Source organism: Homo sapiens, chromosome 4, assembly GCF_000001405.40.
Source record: "Homo sapiens chromosome 4, GRCh38.p14 Primary Assembly".
NCBI classification, from domain to species: domain Eukaryota; kingdom Metazoa; phylum Chordata; class Mammalia; order Primates; family Hominidae; genus Homo; species Homo sapiens.
The window spans coordinates 82374434-82389741 of record NC_000004.12 but is presented as its reverse complement, the minus strand read 5'-3'; the positions used below and the strand labels follow the sequence as shown (position 1 = coordinate 82389741).

At 44.3% G+C, this 15308-nt stretch overlaps 1 long non-coding RNA gene across 2 annotated transcripts, besides 1 other annotated feature; it reads right to left on the bottom strand.

Moving 5' to 3' along the window:
• Positions 1-5716: 5716 nt before the first annotated feature.
• On the bottom strand, positions 5717-15174 carry HNRNPD-DT (HNRNPD divergent transcript). Of its 2 annotated transcripts, none has more exons than NR_183812.1 (2): positions 15016-15174; positions 5717-6008 (listed from the first exon to the last, which is right to left on the bottom strand). It is a non-coding gene; the product is annotated as an HNRNPD divergent transcript (long non-coding RNA). The 2 variants fall into 2 exon arrangements; NR_183813.1 differs by having other exon boundaries at positions 15077-15174.
• Positions 8923-9496: an enhancer, noted in NCBI's record as "H3K27ac-H3K4me1 hESC enhancer chr4:83301399-83301972 (GRCh37/hg19 assembly coordinates)". NCBI's record gives its function as "activates a minimal SCP1, AML or CMV promoter by ChIP-STARR-seq in naive and primed H9 embryonic stem cells {active_cell/tissue: H9 hESC(naive and primed)}" and the evidence as "EXISTENCE:reporter gene assay evidence [ECO:0000049][PMID:30033119]".

The following is a 15308-nucleotide window of genomic DNA, read 5'->3' as shown; positions in this document are numbered from 1 at the left end:
CACAGCTGATCTGACAGGAGGTGGAGCTCAGACTGTAATTCTCATTCACCTGCCGCTCACCTCCTCCTGTGCAGCCCGATTCCTAACAGGCGTGGACCAGTACCAGTTTGTGGCCCAGGAGTTGGGGACCCCTGGTCTACAGTCTTATCAAATGTGGTGGACACTATCTGCTTTCACCGATTTTTTTTTTTTTTTTTTTTTTGAGACAGAGTCTTGCTCTCTTGCCCAGGCTGGAGTACAGTGGCACAATCCCGGCTCACAGCAAGCTCCGCCTCCCAGGTTCAAGCCATTCTCCTGCCTCAGCCTCCCAAGTAGCTGGGACTACAGGCACCCGCCACCTCGCCCGGCTAATTTTTTCTATTTTTAGTAGAGACAGGGTTTCACCGTGTTAGCCAGGATGGTCTCGATCTCATGACCTTGTGATCCACCTGCCTTGGCCTCCCAAAGTGCTGGGATTACAGGTGTGAGACACTGCGCCCGGCCAATTTTGAGGGAAGAAACCTAGAATGTATATTAAATATTTTGAGGTGCTGGGCCAGAATATGAAGTACTTGGAAATACAAACAGCATTCTCAACAGGGTTTTCAGTAGAAGATTGGCAATGGGAGGGAAGAAGAAGGGTATGGTATGTAGATGTACAGCTGCATAGAGTTTGGTTTCCTGAATCACATCTTTGGATAATCTTGGCTAGGGGCAGAGTGAATCCCTAAAGGACTATGGGAAAACACATTTTCCCAGAAACATGCCAAACTGATCAAGAGGGCTTTAAGTAAAATGTTGAAGGAAGGAAAGGAGGAAAATCAGGATAATGCCAAGTCTGTATGTGATAGAAGACACCTGAAATGACAGAGAATAACAATGAGCAGAAATCCGACACCTTAAAAGTTATCAGTATGAGACAGTATTTGAAGCTCTGAATACAGATGAGGTTACTGTATCCTCTTCTCTGCTACATTCTGCAAATTAATCTGCAATTGTTTGGCTGTCTTCTGTCAGTTTCAGTTTGGAGGTCTTCCATAGTCAGCAAGGACAAAGCTCAGAAGACAGAGATTGGAATGAAAGGGGCTGGCCAGCCTCCCCAGAAGGGCCACAGGGTGGCATCTTAGTACGCCTACCACAGACCAAAGTCTAGTTCTCAGATTGTGCTACCACACAATCAAACTCACAAGGCACCACTGCAAAATCCAAAACACTAATTCATTTATTTAGTAATGTACAATTGTAAGGACAAGAGAAGCCTTTCTTTCCCATGGCCTGACCTTTATAACTGCCATAAAAAGTGATGCTTTCCTTGCATGAGGGTAACTAGGAGGCTGAATTGTTTATCAAAGAGTGATTAATCCACAAAAAAAGGAAAAGATGATGAACATTAATCTTGAGGGAGGCATGAAATGGTAGTCTGATTAACTATTTCTAATTCTACCAAAGAGGCCTTCTCTAGTGACAAAAATAGCCATATTCTCTAAGTTTGGAATTTCAAGCTGGTGAGTGCTAGATAATCACCACAGTGTTATTTTTATACCATATTCAATAGAATTTTAGGCATCCATTATAATTTTAGCTATGAAGACTATGCAGCAAGGAATATAGGAAATATGTATGGCATAATATCTAACGAGAAAAGCAGGATATGCAATTGTATTTTGTACTCTAATTTCATTGTTTAAACCAAACACATAAGGAAAAAACTGGTGTGAAATACATAAAACTGCTCAGAGTAGTTATATTCAGAAGGTAGTCTTATGACCTTATGAGTGATTTGTGTTTTTCCTTTTTATTTCTTTTTTTTTTCTTTTTCTTTCTTTCTTTTTTTTTTTTTTTTGAGACAGAGTCTGGTTATGTTGCCAGGCTGGAGTGCAGTGACGTGATCCCGGCTCACTGCACTCTGCCTCCCGGGTTCAAGCGATTCTCCTGCCTCACCCTCCCCAGTAGCTGGGATTAGAGGCACGTGACAGCACGCCCAGCTAATTTTCGTATTTTTAGTACAGACCGGGTTTCACCATGTTGTCCAGGATGGTCTTGATTTTCTGACCTCGTGATCCACCTGCCTCGGCCTCCCAAAGTGCTGGGATTACAGGCGTGAGCCACTGCGCCTGGCCTGTTCTCAGCTTCTTTAATTCACATGGTGGAAAAATGCTGCTCAGTCCTATAATATAATTTCTTCCTACCTCCAGCACCTCTGGCCAACTGTTTAGAGACCCAGTATCCCAATTTCCATTCCAGAACATAAAATCCAATTGATCGGCAGGGTGCGGTGGCTCACGCCTGTAATCCCAGCACTTTGGGAGGCCGAGGCGGGTGGACCACAAGGTCAGGAGATCGAGACCATCCTGGTTAACATGGTGAAACCCCCGTCTCTACTAAAAATACAAAAAATTAGCCAGGCATGGTGGCGGGCGCCTGTAGTCCCAGCTACTTGCGAGGCTGAGGCAGGATAATGGCGTGAACCTGGGAGGCAGAGCTTGCTGTGAGCCGGGATTGTGCCACTGCACTCGCCAGCCTGGGCGACAGAGCTAGACTCCATCTCAAAAAACAAAAAACAAAAAACAAAAAACAAAAAAACCCCAAAAATTAGCTGGGCATAGTGGCATGTGCCTGTAATCCAGCCTGGCGACAGAGTGAGACTCCATCTCAAAAAAAAAAAAAAAAATATCCAATTGACCAGTTTGGGTCAGGTGTCCACCGCTGGACTTGGCAATGGCAAGGGAGGTGGGGGTGGGGTCATGTAAAATTGGCTGCTAGCGACCACATCTGGTTAGGAGAAGAGTTCAGAGAAGGGAGTCATGCTTTGGCACACAATTCAAAAGATAATTAACTTTCTGGGTTTCTCAGGAGTCCTCAGGATCAAGGTGGAGAAATAAGAGTGGGTTGAAGAGATCATAAGATAGATTGTAACTGCTTAAATGACCAGAATCTAAAAAGATACATCAATGATATCCTGCCAGAGATTTCTGGAGGGAGTGGCTCTCAGATCTTAGAGGTAGATTTCTAATAGTACTTGTTGGGAGCAAGCCCCCCAAAATCTGGCCATAAACTGGCCCCAAAACTGGCCATAAACAAAATCTCTGCAGCACTGTAACATGTTCATAATGGCCCTAACGCCCACGCTGGAAGGTTGTGGGTTTAGGGGAATGAGGGCAAGGAACACCTGGCCCGCCCAGGGTGGAAAACCGCTTAAAGGCGTTCTTAAACTACAAACAATAGCATGAGCAATCTGTGCCTTAAGGACATGCTCCTGCTGCAGTTAACTAGCCCAACCTATTCCTTTAATTCGGCCCATCCCTTCGTTTCCCATACGGAATACTTTTAGTTAATTTAATATCTACAGAAACAATGCTAATGACTGGTTTGTTGTTAATAAATACATGGGTAAATCTCTGTTCAGGGCTCTGAGGGCTGTGAGACCCCTGATTTCCCACTTCACACCTCTATATTTCCGTGTGTGTGTCTTTAATTCCTCTAGCGCCACTCGGTTAGGGTCTCCCTGACCGAGCTGGTCTTGGCAAGTACTCACCAAGGCTCTATGTGGGTCCTATCTTTTTTCTGTCATCTTTATTAGCCTTAAATTCCCTGGAGCTAGTGAATTTGCTCTTCGTCTTTCTCTAATACCCTTAAATCTCCTCCCTTGTCCACACTCTCAGCTGATGACAGATTTCTTAACTGACTGAGAAAAGTGAAAGGAATCAGAACTGATCATGTTTAACACCAAACCTACTAACTGAGTTACATCAGTTCACATAAGCTTCCTCCCTTCCTATAGAACACATGAACTGTCTCTGCTTCACCTTGTGTGCTGGATTCCATCTCCTCTCAGCTACTTAAGAACTTGGCTTCTGCAATTATTCCCCTATTTCTACCCCTACATCACCAGTTTTTCTCTTTCTACTGGATCATTATCATCATCTTACAACCATGGTGTAATATGAAGGGAAAAAAATCAGCCCCCACAAATAAAGCTATATGTTACCTAGGCTGCCAGTTGGCTATAAAGTTAAGCTATCAGCAGACCCAAAAGCTACTTCTCATGTTCCAGTCCATATGAACAAATACTGTGTACCCATTGAAAAAATATATTTTAGCAGTCTTTACAAATCGCTTTCTGAATGTGTTCAACTATGGTCAACATTATAGAATGTTATGCAATGCACTTGTTCTGTTGGGGTCATCAAGGACTTGAATCTGGTCTCAAGTCTAGTTATTCATCTAGAAGCAATGATACGAGAGGTGATAGGTGTGGGTCTGAAGGTGCATCAGTGTTTCTCTGCAAAGCAACTACTTCAGGAATGGTCATTATAGGTTCTTTAGGCAAGGAAAGACTAATCTCTACAGCAGTAGATGGACCAGATTTCTATTGCTGCTGTAACAAGTTACCACAAATTTAGTGGCTTAAAATAACCCATTTATTATTTTGTAGTTCTAGAGGTCTCACTGGACTAAATTAAGGTGTCAGCAGGGCTGTGTTATTCTGGAGATTTTTAGGGAGAATTTCTTTCCTTGCCTTTTCCAGCTTCCAGAGGCCACCTGCATTCCTCGGCACGTGGCCTTCTCCCTTCATCTTCAAAGCCAGTGGTGCAGCACCTTCAATCTCTCCAACTGTAATCTGACCCTGGCCCTCCTGTCCCCCTCTTACAAGGACCCTTATGATTACCTTGGGTCCACCTGGATAATCTAGGATAATCTTTCCATATCAAGAATCTGAAATGTCCCTCTTGCCATGTAAAGAAATATATTCACAGACTTTATGGATTTGGATGTGGACATCTTTGGGGGCCATTATTCTGTCTATCACAGTAGAGGAAGAATGTTCACAATGAAGGCTTGGCAGAATTTTGAGGTTCAAGGTCATCTGGTTCATTGGAATTTGTTTAAACTCTAATTTCCAAAGTTTCACTGTTTCCTGATCAATACCTTAACTTTAGCCTAAGAGATCATGCAAGTTAATTCCATTTGCTTTATAATTCAGCCATCTTTATGGTCAGAATTTGGGTTCAATTTTCAAAAATCTTGACCATGTAGCTACATGAGGCAAGATTTTCTTTCTTTCTTTTTTTTTTTTGAGACAGTGTCTTGCTCTGTAGCCCAGGCTGGAGTGCAGTGGCGAGACCTCAGCTCACTGCAACCTCTGCCTCCTGGGTTCAAGCGGTTCTCCTGCCTCAGCCTCCTGAGTAGTTGGGACTACAGGTGTGTGCCACCACGCCCAGCTAATTTTTGTATTTTTAGTAGAGACGGGGTTTCACCATGTTGGTCAGGATGGTCTCAATCTCTTGACCTCATGATCTGCCCACTTGGCCTCCCAAAGTGCTGGGATTACAGGCATGAGCCACCACGCCTGGCCAAGATTTTTTTTCCCAGGCAGATAAGAAACATTCTGGTTCCTTGTCCAGGACTTGAAGTAGGAATTTAAGGCCTTGAGCTTATCTTTTTCTTTTTCTAAGTTCTCCAGTGTACTTTGAAATAGTCAACCCACTCCACAATCCTTGTACCCTTTATTTCCATTATATAATCCTATTGCAGCAACTTCTTGGTCATCCAAGGTAGTAACTATTTTGCCACTGTATGCCATGGACCACCAATGCCATTATCACTGGCAATGAGGTCGTTAAAACCTTTAAATCCCATGGGATCAGAAAATTTTTATCCTTAAAGTGTAGCTTCCTGGAAACTACTTATCTTACTAATAACTGGGTATAGTGAGAAAACAAAGTCACTGCAAGTATTCTGGAATAAAGAGATTTAATGTAGGAATTGAGGGTTAGATGGATGTAGGAGAAGCTGGAGGAGTGAAGGTCTGGAGCTGCAGCTGAAGGATTGTAGAACATTCACTAATGACTTCGGCTTGAAGCATTGGAGTTGATGAAAAAGCTGAGCTCATGGAGAAACATAAGAAACCAGAGATTGTGGAGGAGCCTGAGGAGCTGCCATTTATGGCCACCTTGGCCTCAAAGCAGGCACTTGCACGGAAGTCTGGGAAGCTGTCGTGATTGGCTGACACAACTGCAAAGTGGGAGCTGGTGGAGAAATTGAGAAATTGAAAACGGCCACAACTTACTGGGAGAAGTGGGTGATGCTTCCACATCCTGAGAATAAAAGCTTCCTTGCTTTGCCTTCTTATTCTATTGTGAGTACCTGCTATGGGCTGAATGTATCTCCCCAGAGGTCATGTTGAAATCCTAACCCCTAAGGTAACGGTACTAGAAATGGGGCCTTTGATAGGTGGTTAGATTATGAAGGCAGAACCCTCATGAATGGGATTAGTGCCCTTATAAAAGAGATCCCAGAGATCTGCGTTATCAATTCCGCATGTGAGGACCCCTGAGAAGGTGCCATCGATGAATCAGAAAATGAGCCCTCACCAGACACAGAATCTACCAATACCCTGATCTTGGACTTTCCAGCCTCCAGAAGTGTGGGAAATAAATTTCTGTTGTTTATAAGCTACCCAGTCTGTGTCATTTTGTCACAGCAGGCAAAAGGGACTAAAACAGCACCTCTCACTGGCATATCCTAACTTGGGATCATAACGGGAAGGGGATTCTAGGAAATGTTCCTGGTTTTTCCTCTTCAAGGCAGAGATATTACAAGTGGGTGGTATAATGCAAAGTTGACAACCAACAAATCAGTTAGGATACCTTTGATTTAGAGAAATAAACTGGCCAGTCAAACTAGCTTAAATGATAAAGGGAATTTACTGAATCATGTGACTAAGTCTAGAGGCAGAGATAGCTGTAGGGAGAAGTCGATCTGGTTGTTCAAAGAATGTGACCATGACCTGGTATCCTGTTTACCACATCTTAGTAACTCTTCCTTGCTGTTTGATTCCTGTCTTCATAGGGATCTTTCTGCTGTGAAACGGCTGCCAGTAGTTGGTTCCCTTAGCTACATGCTCTGTTTATGACCAATAGGAGAGTATTTCTTCACTCAAATATCAAAAGGAGGCTGGGAGTGGTGGCTCATGTCTGTAATCCCAGCACTTTGGGAGGCCAAGACCAGCAGATCACTAGGTCAGGAGTTCGAGACCAGCCTGGCCAACATGATGGAACCCTGTCTCTATTAAAAATACAAAAATTAGCCAGGCGTGGTGGTGGTCACCTGTAATCCCAACTACTCAGGAGGCTGAGGCAGGAGAATCACTTGAACCTGGGAGGCGGAGGTTGCAGTGATCTGAGATTGGGCCACAGCACTCCAGCCTAGGTGACACAGCGAGACTCCATCTCAAAATAAAAATGAAAATAAAAATAAAATAGAAAAAATAAAAGGGGGCTGGGCACAGTGGTTCACATCTGTAACCCCAGCACTTTGGGAGGCCAAGGTGGGTGGATCACTTGAGGCCAGGCATTAGAGACCAGCCTGACCAACATGGCAAAACCCTGCCTCTACTAAAAATACAAAAATTAGCCAGGTGTGGTGGTCCACATCTGTAATTCCAGCTACTCAGGAGGCTGAGGCATGAGAATTGCTTGAACCCAGGAGGCGGAGGTTGCAGTGAGCTGAAATTGCACCACTGCACTCCATCCTGGGTGAGAAAGCAAGACTCTTTCTCCAAAAAAAAAAAAAAAAAAAAAAAAAAATTCAAAGGGAAGTTCTTCAAATGTGACTAGCTGACTTAGGGGCTGTGCCTGGCCACAATGTTACCAGTGGTGATGAGTTCATTCTGATGAGCTGGCTTGCTGTTCTGTATTACCTCCTCTGGCTCCACTTGTTTCTCCTATGCTATTTATTACTAAGAGAAGGAAAAACTGATGCTGGGGAGCCCCAAGTAGCAAATGTCTACTACAGTAGCCAAAACATCAAGGATATAAATTAGTTAAACAGAAAAACCCCTCCTACAGAGGTACTATCTAATTATGTGTTACTATTTTTGAAGTGTGACTTTTAAGCAATTGTACTGAGTCTGAGAGCCTGAGAACTCTCAGCCCTGGCATGAGAAAGTGATTATTCTGAGGCAGCTCTTATGGAGTAAGGAAATATCAAATAACTGAGAGCCACTGCAACAAATGAAAAGGCCCCAAAGAGCCACAGGACAGAGACACTTTCCTAAACGTTTTCTTAGGTTTTCAATATTTCTAAATTGAACCTTAATCTGAAAACCCTGACTCTTCTGTATTCTTTCAATAATTATTCTCTTGAACTGCAACTCCTGCAAACTAAGTGGGACAATTATAAACTTAGCAGCTAAAAGAACCTTAAAAGTGGCTGGATAGGCCAGGCGCCTTTTTCCAGGCCTGCCCATGGACCAGTCAGCATGCACTTCCTCCTGCCCATGGACCAGTCAGCATGCACTTACTCCATGCTGAGCCCATAAAAACCCTGGACTCAGCTATACTCAGACTCTGGTCAGGACTGCCTCCCTGAGGATAGGAGATACCCACTTCAGGTCTCCTCTCCACTGAGAGCTGTTTGATCTCCCAATAAAGCTCTTCTCCACCTTGCTCACCCTCCAGTTGCCCGCATAACCTCGTTCTTCCTGCAAGTGGGACAAGAACTTGGGACCTGCCAAATGGTGGGAGTGAAAGGAGCTGTGGCTGTGGGTGGGAGCTAAAGGGGCTGTAACACTTTTCTGGTTGGCTCACCGAGCTGCAGGCAAGTGACACTCTCCCAGACTGTGGGAGTGAAGAGTGACAACCCTTCTGGGGTTCCAGACCTCAGGATTTCCCAAGCCAGAGCTGTAACCCTATAGCCTTCCTGTCTTCTGCCGGCACTGGGCAGCTGCCCCACACAATGGGAAGCAGTGGTGGGGCTGGGCCAGTCCAGGAGCCGCAGGCTGGAGCAGAGTGGCAGCACTGAAAGAGCTGTTAACACAAATGGGCTGAAACATGCCCCTCAACTCCCCAAGCTGTGGGTGACAAGAAGGAGAAAAGAGCTGTGGCCCTTCTGGGAGCCCAGACCTCAGGGTTTCGAGCTGGGGCTGTGACATGCTGTAACACCCTCTTTGGGGTTCTGCGGTTCCTGGTGTCTCTGAACTTTCAGGCGCCACTATGTTCCCCTCATCCAGACGCTGGTGCCTGCAGTGGAAGCCACCTGCAGTACATCTTGTCCAGCCGCAGCCTCGCATGGAGCCAGTGCTTGTGCTGGTGCCTGGAGCTGCTCACCCTGCTGCAGCAGCCAGCGTGCTTGGCTGTACACAGTGGCCAGACTCCATGCTCACTCACTCACACACCCCTCACTGCTCTGTGCATGGCTCACCCTTGGCAGGCATGAGATCTGGGCTGGTAGTGCAAGTGGAGTGCAGCCTGCTGGGCCACGTGGGCGGAACAAGCCCAGAGGGCATGGTAGCAGAGGTGCTACCAACCGCAGAGCTTTCCGGCTGGCAAAGAGACACCCAAAGGATCCTGTGACGTTATGGACAAACGCCACCTGCAGTAGCTAATCAAAATCTCATTCCAGAACTTCAGAAAGGGGTGGAAAATAAAGGAAAAAATATTGCATTGGATGAAAACGCTAGTCTGAGTCTTTACTGGAAATATTATCAATAATATTAATTCAAGTCTTTCTTGTTTAATTTTGAATGATCCCTTATTGTCATTAGAGCACGATTTTTCTTTGCAGAAAAATATCCTTCTAGGAAAAATAAGCAAAGTCACATGACCACATGTAAATAACACCCTCTTTGTAGATTTATCTTCTCAGAATAAATTAACCAAGAAAGGCTAAAAAAATAGTCAATTCATGGCCTGTCGCGGTGGCTCACGCTTGTAATCCCAGCACTTTGGGAGGCCGAGGCAGGCAGATTACTTGAGCTGAGGAGTTCAAGACCAGGTTGGGCAACATGGTGAAACCCCACCTGTACAAAAAATACAAAAATCAGCCAGGTGTGGTGGTGCACACCTGTGGTCCCAACTACTTGGGAGGCTGAGGGTGGGAGGATCACTTGAGCCCAGGAGGTTAAGGCTGCAGTTAGTTGTGATTGTGCCACCGTACTCTAGCCTGGGCAACAGAGCGAGATCCTGTCTCAAAAAAAAAAAAAAAGTCTTTTCTTGACAGTGCCCTTTTAACTCATCTCCCTGATGTCCTCCCACAGTCCACCGTCCACACAGCATCCATTATCTTCCACTTAAAGTCAGGTCATGTTCTTCCTCTGCTCAAAACCCTTCCATGGTTTCTCATGACTTTGATAATAAAAGTAGAGTGCCAACCACAGTTTACAAGACCCTGAGTAAGCTCATTACTGGCTACCTCTCAGGTATGATCTATTATACTTGCTTTCCTTCACTTTAGCCACACTGGACTCCATTTTTCATTGTAAGCACAAATCACGCTCCTGCCTCAGGTGTACCCTTTGCCTTGTAAAGTCTTCCCTAAGCTAAGTATATGGTTTTCTCTCTTACTTTCTTCAGGGCACTACTCAAAAAGTTATTTCCTTGAAGAGTTTTCTCTGACTGTCCTATAGCACATATCCTATGTGTAGCATTTTATCTTTTTCTTCCTATCACTTCCTAAAATTATATTACATATCTATTTGTCTGTCGTTTGTCTCTGCCACTAGAATGTCAGCTCCATGAGACCAGAGACCTTGCCTATTTTGATCACTGTTATATTTCCCAGTCCTAGAAATGTACATGTGCCATTAATGTGTTGCATGGTTGAAAGTGAATAACTACCTAGAAATTACCCCAGTATTTATGTTCTAAGAAGCATTTAGATGAATCAAGATATATCTTGGAGGTGGGAGGAGTTGGTGATTGATTGGATGTGGGGGGTGAGGGAGGGGGGATATCAAAGATGATTCCCTGGATTTTGGCAGGAATATATGGGTGGGTGGAGATGTCATTTACTGAGAAGAGGAAGACCAAAGAAGCAGGTTTGTAGGGAAAGTAGAGTTCAGTTTTGGACATCTAAAGCTTGAGATTCCTGTGAACATTCAAGTAGGGATGTCAAATAGGCAGTTTGATATGTAGGTCTGGAGTGAGAGGAGTGTATTTCCTTATTATTTCTTTTTTAAAGAGATGGGGGTCTCACTGTATTGCCCAGGCTGGGCTTGAATTACTGGGTTCAAGGGAATCTCCTCTTTCAGCCTTCTGAGTAGCTGGGACTACAGGCGTGTGATCAGCTTTGTCTGAATTCTTTTTTGAGCTACGTTTTAAAAAACTGTATCTAAAAGAAACTATTGACATCCTCATGAGTAAGCAGAACTGACTCTACAGTATTAGACTTTATGGCTGAAGTAAAACCCGACTTTTCAGAAGTTGATAGGGCTTTTATTTTCTGAATAAAGTGAAGCTTCCTGATAACCAAGGAATATGACAGAGAATGTTCACTGCATGGGCAATTGGTCACTTCACGTAAAATCACAAACTAACTCTCCAACAAAATGCTTAAATCCCACTGATGGTGTTCTGCAAATAGGTCCAGATAGGTTATAGGCTGTTTAACATGGTTGTAGAAGCAGCTCAAGTATGTGTACCTTGTATAAAAAAATGGGTTCTTTGGCTGTTTCTTCCACACTGTTTATTCCAGGTTGCCAACTGGCATACATACCCTATTAATACTTTAAAAATTTGAACATAAGGGAACCTCCTGCTGCATTTGCAGACTGCACCTAGCAGATGAAAACTGACTTCCTTGGCTTAGGTGTATGCATCTTGTTCTAGGTAAAAGTGATTCCAGTTTAATTCTCAAACAGACTTCATTTTTGGCCTTTTACAAGTACTTTAGTTTTTGCTGCAGAGAATAATTGCTTTACAAAGGCTAAATTCAATGATGATCTAGCATTTTAGTGTGTTATCTGAAACACACTGGGAATCTCCTAAAGCAATGGAATAGTTCATGTCTGTACATTGACAGGGGATATTCCTTCCTTCTACTGTTTGGGGCAAGTCCAATACAGCATCTCCAGCCACTTAAACAATTAATTGTTACCTATGAATGTGTAACAAAAAGTTTCATTTCATTCTCAAGAAATTTCATACATCCATCACCAGGTCATTTGAAGAAGCGTTTCGTTGTTGTTGTTGTTTTTGAAACAGGCTCTTGCTCTGTCGTCCAGACTGGAATGAAGTGGCATCACTGCTCACTGCAGCCTTGAATTTTTGATTCAAGCAATCTTCCCACCTCAGCCTCCTGAGTAGCTGGAACCACAGGCTCACGCCACCACACCCAGCTAATTTTTTTTTTTTTTGAGACATAGTTTCACTCTGTCACCCAGCTTGAGTACAGTGGTGCAGTCTCTACTCACTGCAACCTCTGCCTTGTGGGTTCATGTAATTTTCCTGCCTCAGCCTCCCCAGTAGCCAGGATTACAGGCGTGCGCCACCACGCCCAGCTTATTTTTGTATCTTCAGTAGAGATGGGGTTTCACCACATTGCCCAGGCTGCTCTCGAACTCCCGGCCTCAAGTGATCCACCCACCTCGGACTCTCAAAGTGTTGGGATTAGAGGCGTAAGCCACCGCACCCGGCAACAGAAACGGGTTAAACACAACCCAAGGCGTCCCTGGGTGGGCAGGAACTGATTTTTTAAATTTTTTGTAGAGATAGGTTTTGCTATGTTGCCGGGGCTGGTCTCAAATTCCTGGCTTGGCCGGGCGCGGTGGCTCACACCTGTAATCCCAGCACTTTGGGAGGCCGAGGCGGGCGGATCACGAGGTCAGGAGATCGAGACCGTCCTGACTAGCACAGTGAAACCCCGTCTCTACTAAAAATACAAAAAAAATTAGCCGGGCGTGGTGGCAGGTGCCTGTTGTCCCAGCTACTTGGGAGACAGGAAGGAGAATGGCGTCAACCCGGGAGTGAGCCGAGATCGCGCCATTGCACCTCCAGCCTGGGCAACAGAGTGAAACTCTGTCTCAAAAAAAAAAAAAAAAAAAAAAAAATTCCTGGGCTCAAGCAATCATCCCTCCTTGGCCTACCAAAGTGTTGGGATTATAGGCATGAGCCACAGCACCTGGCCAAAAGTTTTTTTTTTTTTAATGCCAGAGATGAAATGAGATGGTGTGGAGAGGAGACTTTCAAGTCCCTGGAAGAACACCTAGTTTGCTTGAAAGCCCCTTAATCTAACAAGTTGGACATACTTATTATTTTGTCATTCAATAATTCAACTGGCAATTACATAGTGTGGATATACTGCTGCTGTGTTTATGTGTGTGTGAGAGTGTGTTAGGGAGGGAGAGATACATAGAAGACACTGTTTTCTAAGAACTCATGGTCTAGTAGAAAACAATGAAGAATAACAGAGGTAAAGATAAAGGGCTGTGAAAAGGGATCATTAATTCTGCCTCAGGAAGCCTGGGAAGACTTCACATAAATAGTAACATTTGTTTGTTTTTGAGACAGGGTCTCACTCTGCCTTTCTCACTGCAGCCTCCACCTTCCAGGTTCAAGTGATCCTCCCACTTCAGCCTCAGGAGTAGCTGGAACAACAGGAACCACCATGCCAGGTTAATTTTCTGACTTTTTGTAGAGGCAAGGTCTCACTCCGTTGCCCAGGCTGATGGCCAACTCCTTGAGGCAAGCAATCCTCCCGACTTGGCCTCTCAAAGTGCTGGATTACAGGCGTGAGCCACCACGCCTGCCAGAAGTTAAGTGAGTTCCAAGAAGAATATTGTGTGGATGCAGGAGCACATCCTGGATGTAGAGATCTTGGCCATAATATCAAGGACTATCAGTGATATGGACATCATACATCCTCATAAAGCATGTAAAGGTGTTAGCTTTAAAATCATTCCTAGGTTGTCTGGAACTTTTGACATAAATTCTAAGAATTCCAGAAGCTCCTAAGCTACATGTGAAATCAAAATGAACCTTTTGGAAAAGTCACTATTACCAAAAGGTGGGTATGTCTAATGATATCTTAAGATCAAAATAAATGACAATTACCGTCACTTGAGCCAGAAAAGATTAAACAGACTTCCCTTCAGTCAATCATCTTAGTTGTATCTAACCCGGAATATATGGTTTGAGCACCATATCCACTTTATCCTTTGCTAATATTCTGGCAGGTGGAGACAAATGTGGAGTCACTACCACTTTACGGTAAACATTCTTGGTATTACCTTTATGTGACTTGATTATTACGGGAGTTTGGTAAGATTATATTTTTAGGACGTTTTCAGAATTTGACCTGTATTCTTGAGTTTTAATTATTCTGTAATGTAAATTCTACTAACTTGATTAATAAAACTTACTTATAATCTTCCTTTGAGATTTTTGGATAGTGTCCAATTAATACAAATTCGTTTAACTGCAGTGGAAAATACCTAAACTTTTTTTTTTTTTTTTTTTTTGAGACGGAGTCTCGCTCTGTCGCCCAGGCTGGAGTGCAAGTGGCATGATCTCGACTCCCTGCAATCTCCACCTCCCGGGTTCAAGCGATTCTCCTGCCTCAGCCTCCTGAGTACCTGAGATTACAGGTACCGGCCACCACGCCCGGCTAATTTTTGTATTTTTAGTAGACACGGGGGTTTCACCATGTTGGTCAGGCTTGTCTCGAACTCCTGACCTCGTGATCCGCCCGCCTCGGCCTCCCAAAGTGCTGGGATTACAGGCGTGAGCCACCGCGCCCGGCCCAAATACTTAAACTCTTAAGATTTTTGCTGGAGTCTGCAAACTCGTCTTTGTTTCCCCCGTGCCCGAACACTTTAATTAAACAGGCAAATAATTATTTGTTGACTACAGAAGTACCTAGAAGCTTCATTTTCTTCTAAGGATACTGCTGGAAGCAGCAAATCCCAAAGCCCGAATAATCCAGTCTCCAGCCGAGGCAGCGGGAATTTTTAATAGGTGTATAAAATTACTTTTTATACACCTTAATGAAACGCCTAACGGTGTTACAAGAAAAGAAAAAAAAAAACCACGCACACACAACAAAAAAGCCAAACCCGAACACAAACTCATAAACCTCGTAAAGATGACTCACGACATTTATATATTCTATGTACAAAGGCTAAAGAACATTAAGCGAACCCTTGATTTAACACACTTTCCAATTATTAGTAACGTAAAGGAATCACGGTACGTTTTAGGATCTTTAAACAACAAAAGCAAAGCAAAAACAATGTTTTCCTTAAGATATGCAAGTTACCTGCTTCTTCGACCAAAAACAAAAAAATTCCAGGAGAAAAGCAGGCAAACAAAAATCTTACTTGGAAAGCCAAATCTTAAAAAGAAGCCCTATCGGCCCAGCGGCGATAGACGAAAACCTCAATGTCACCCGGTCCCGGGCGGCGACGGCAGGGAGAGTAGCTGCGGCAATCAGTGCGCGCGCGGTCCGCTGCGGCGCCTGGCGCTCCGCGGGCGTCCGGGTGGACAGCGCCAGGGGCACAGGGCTGACATCTCAGGGCTAATTCCCTCCTCCAGTGCGTAAATCCAGGCTTA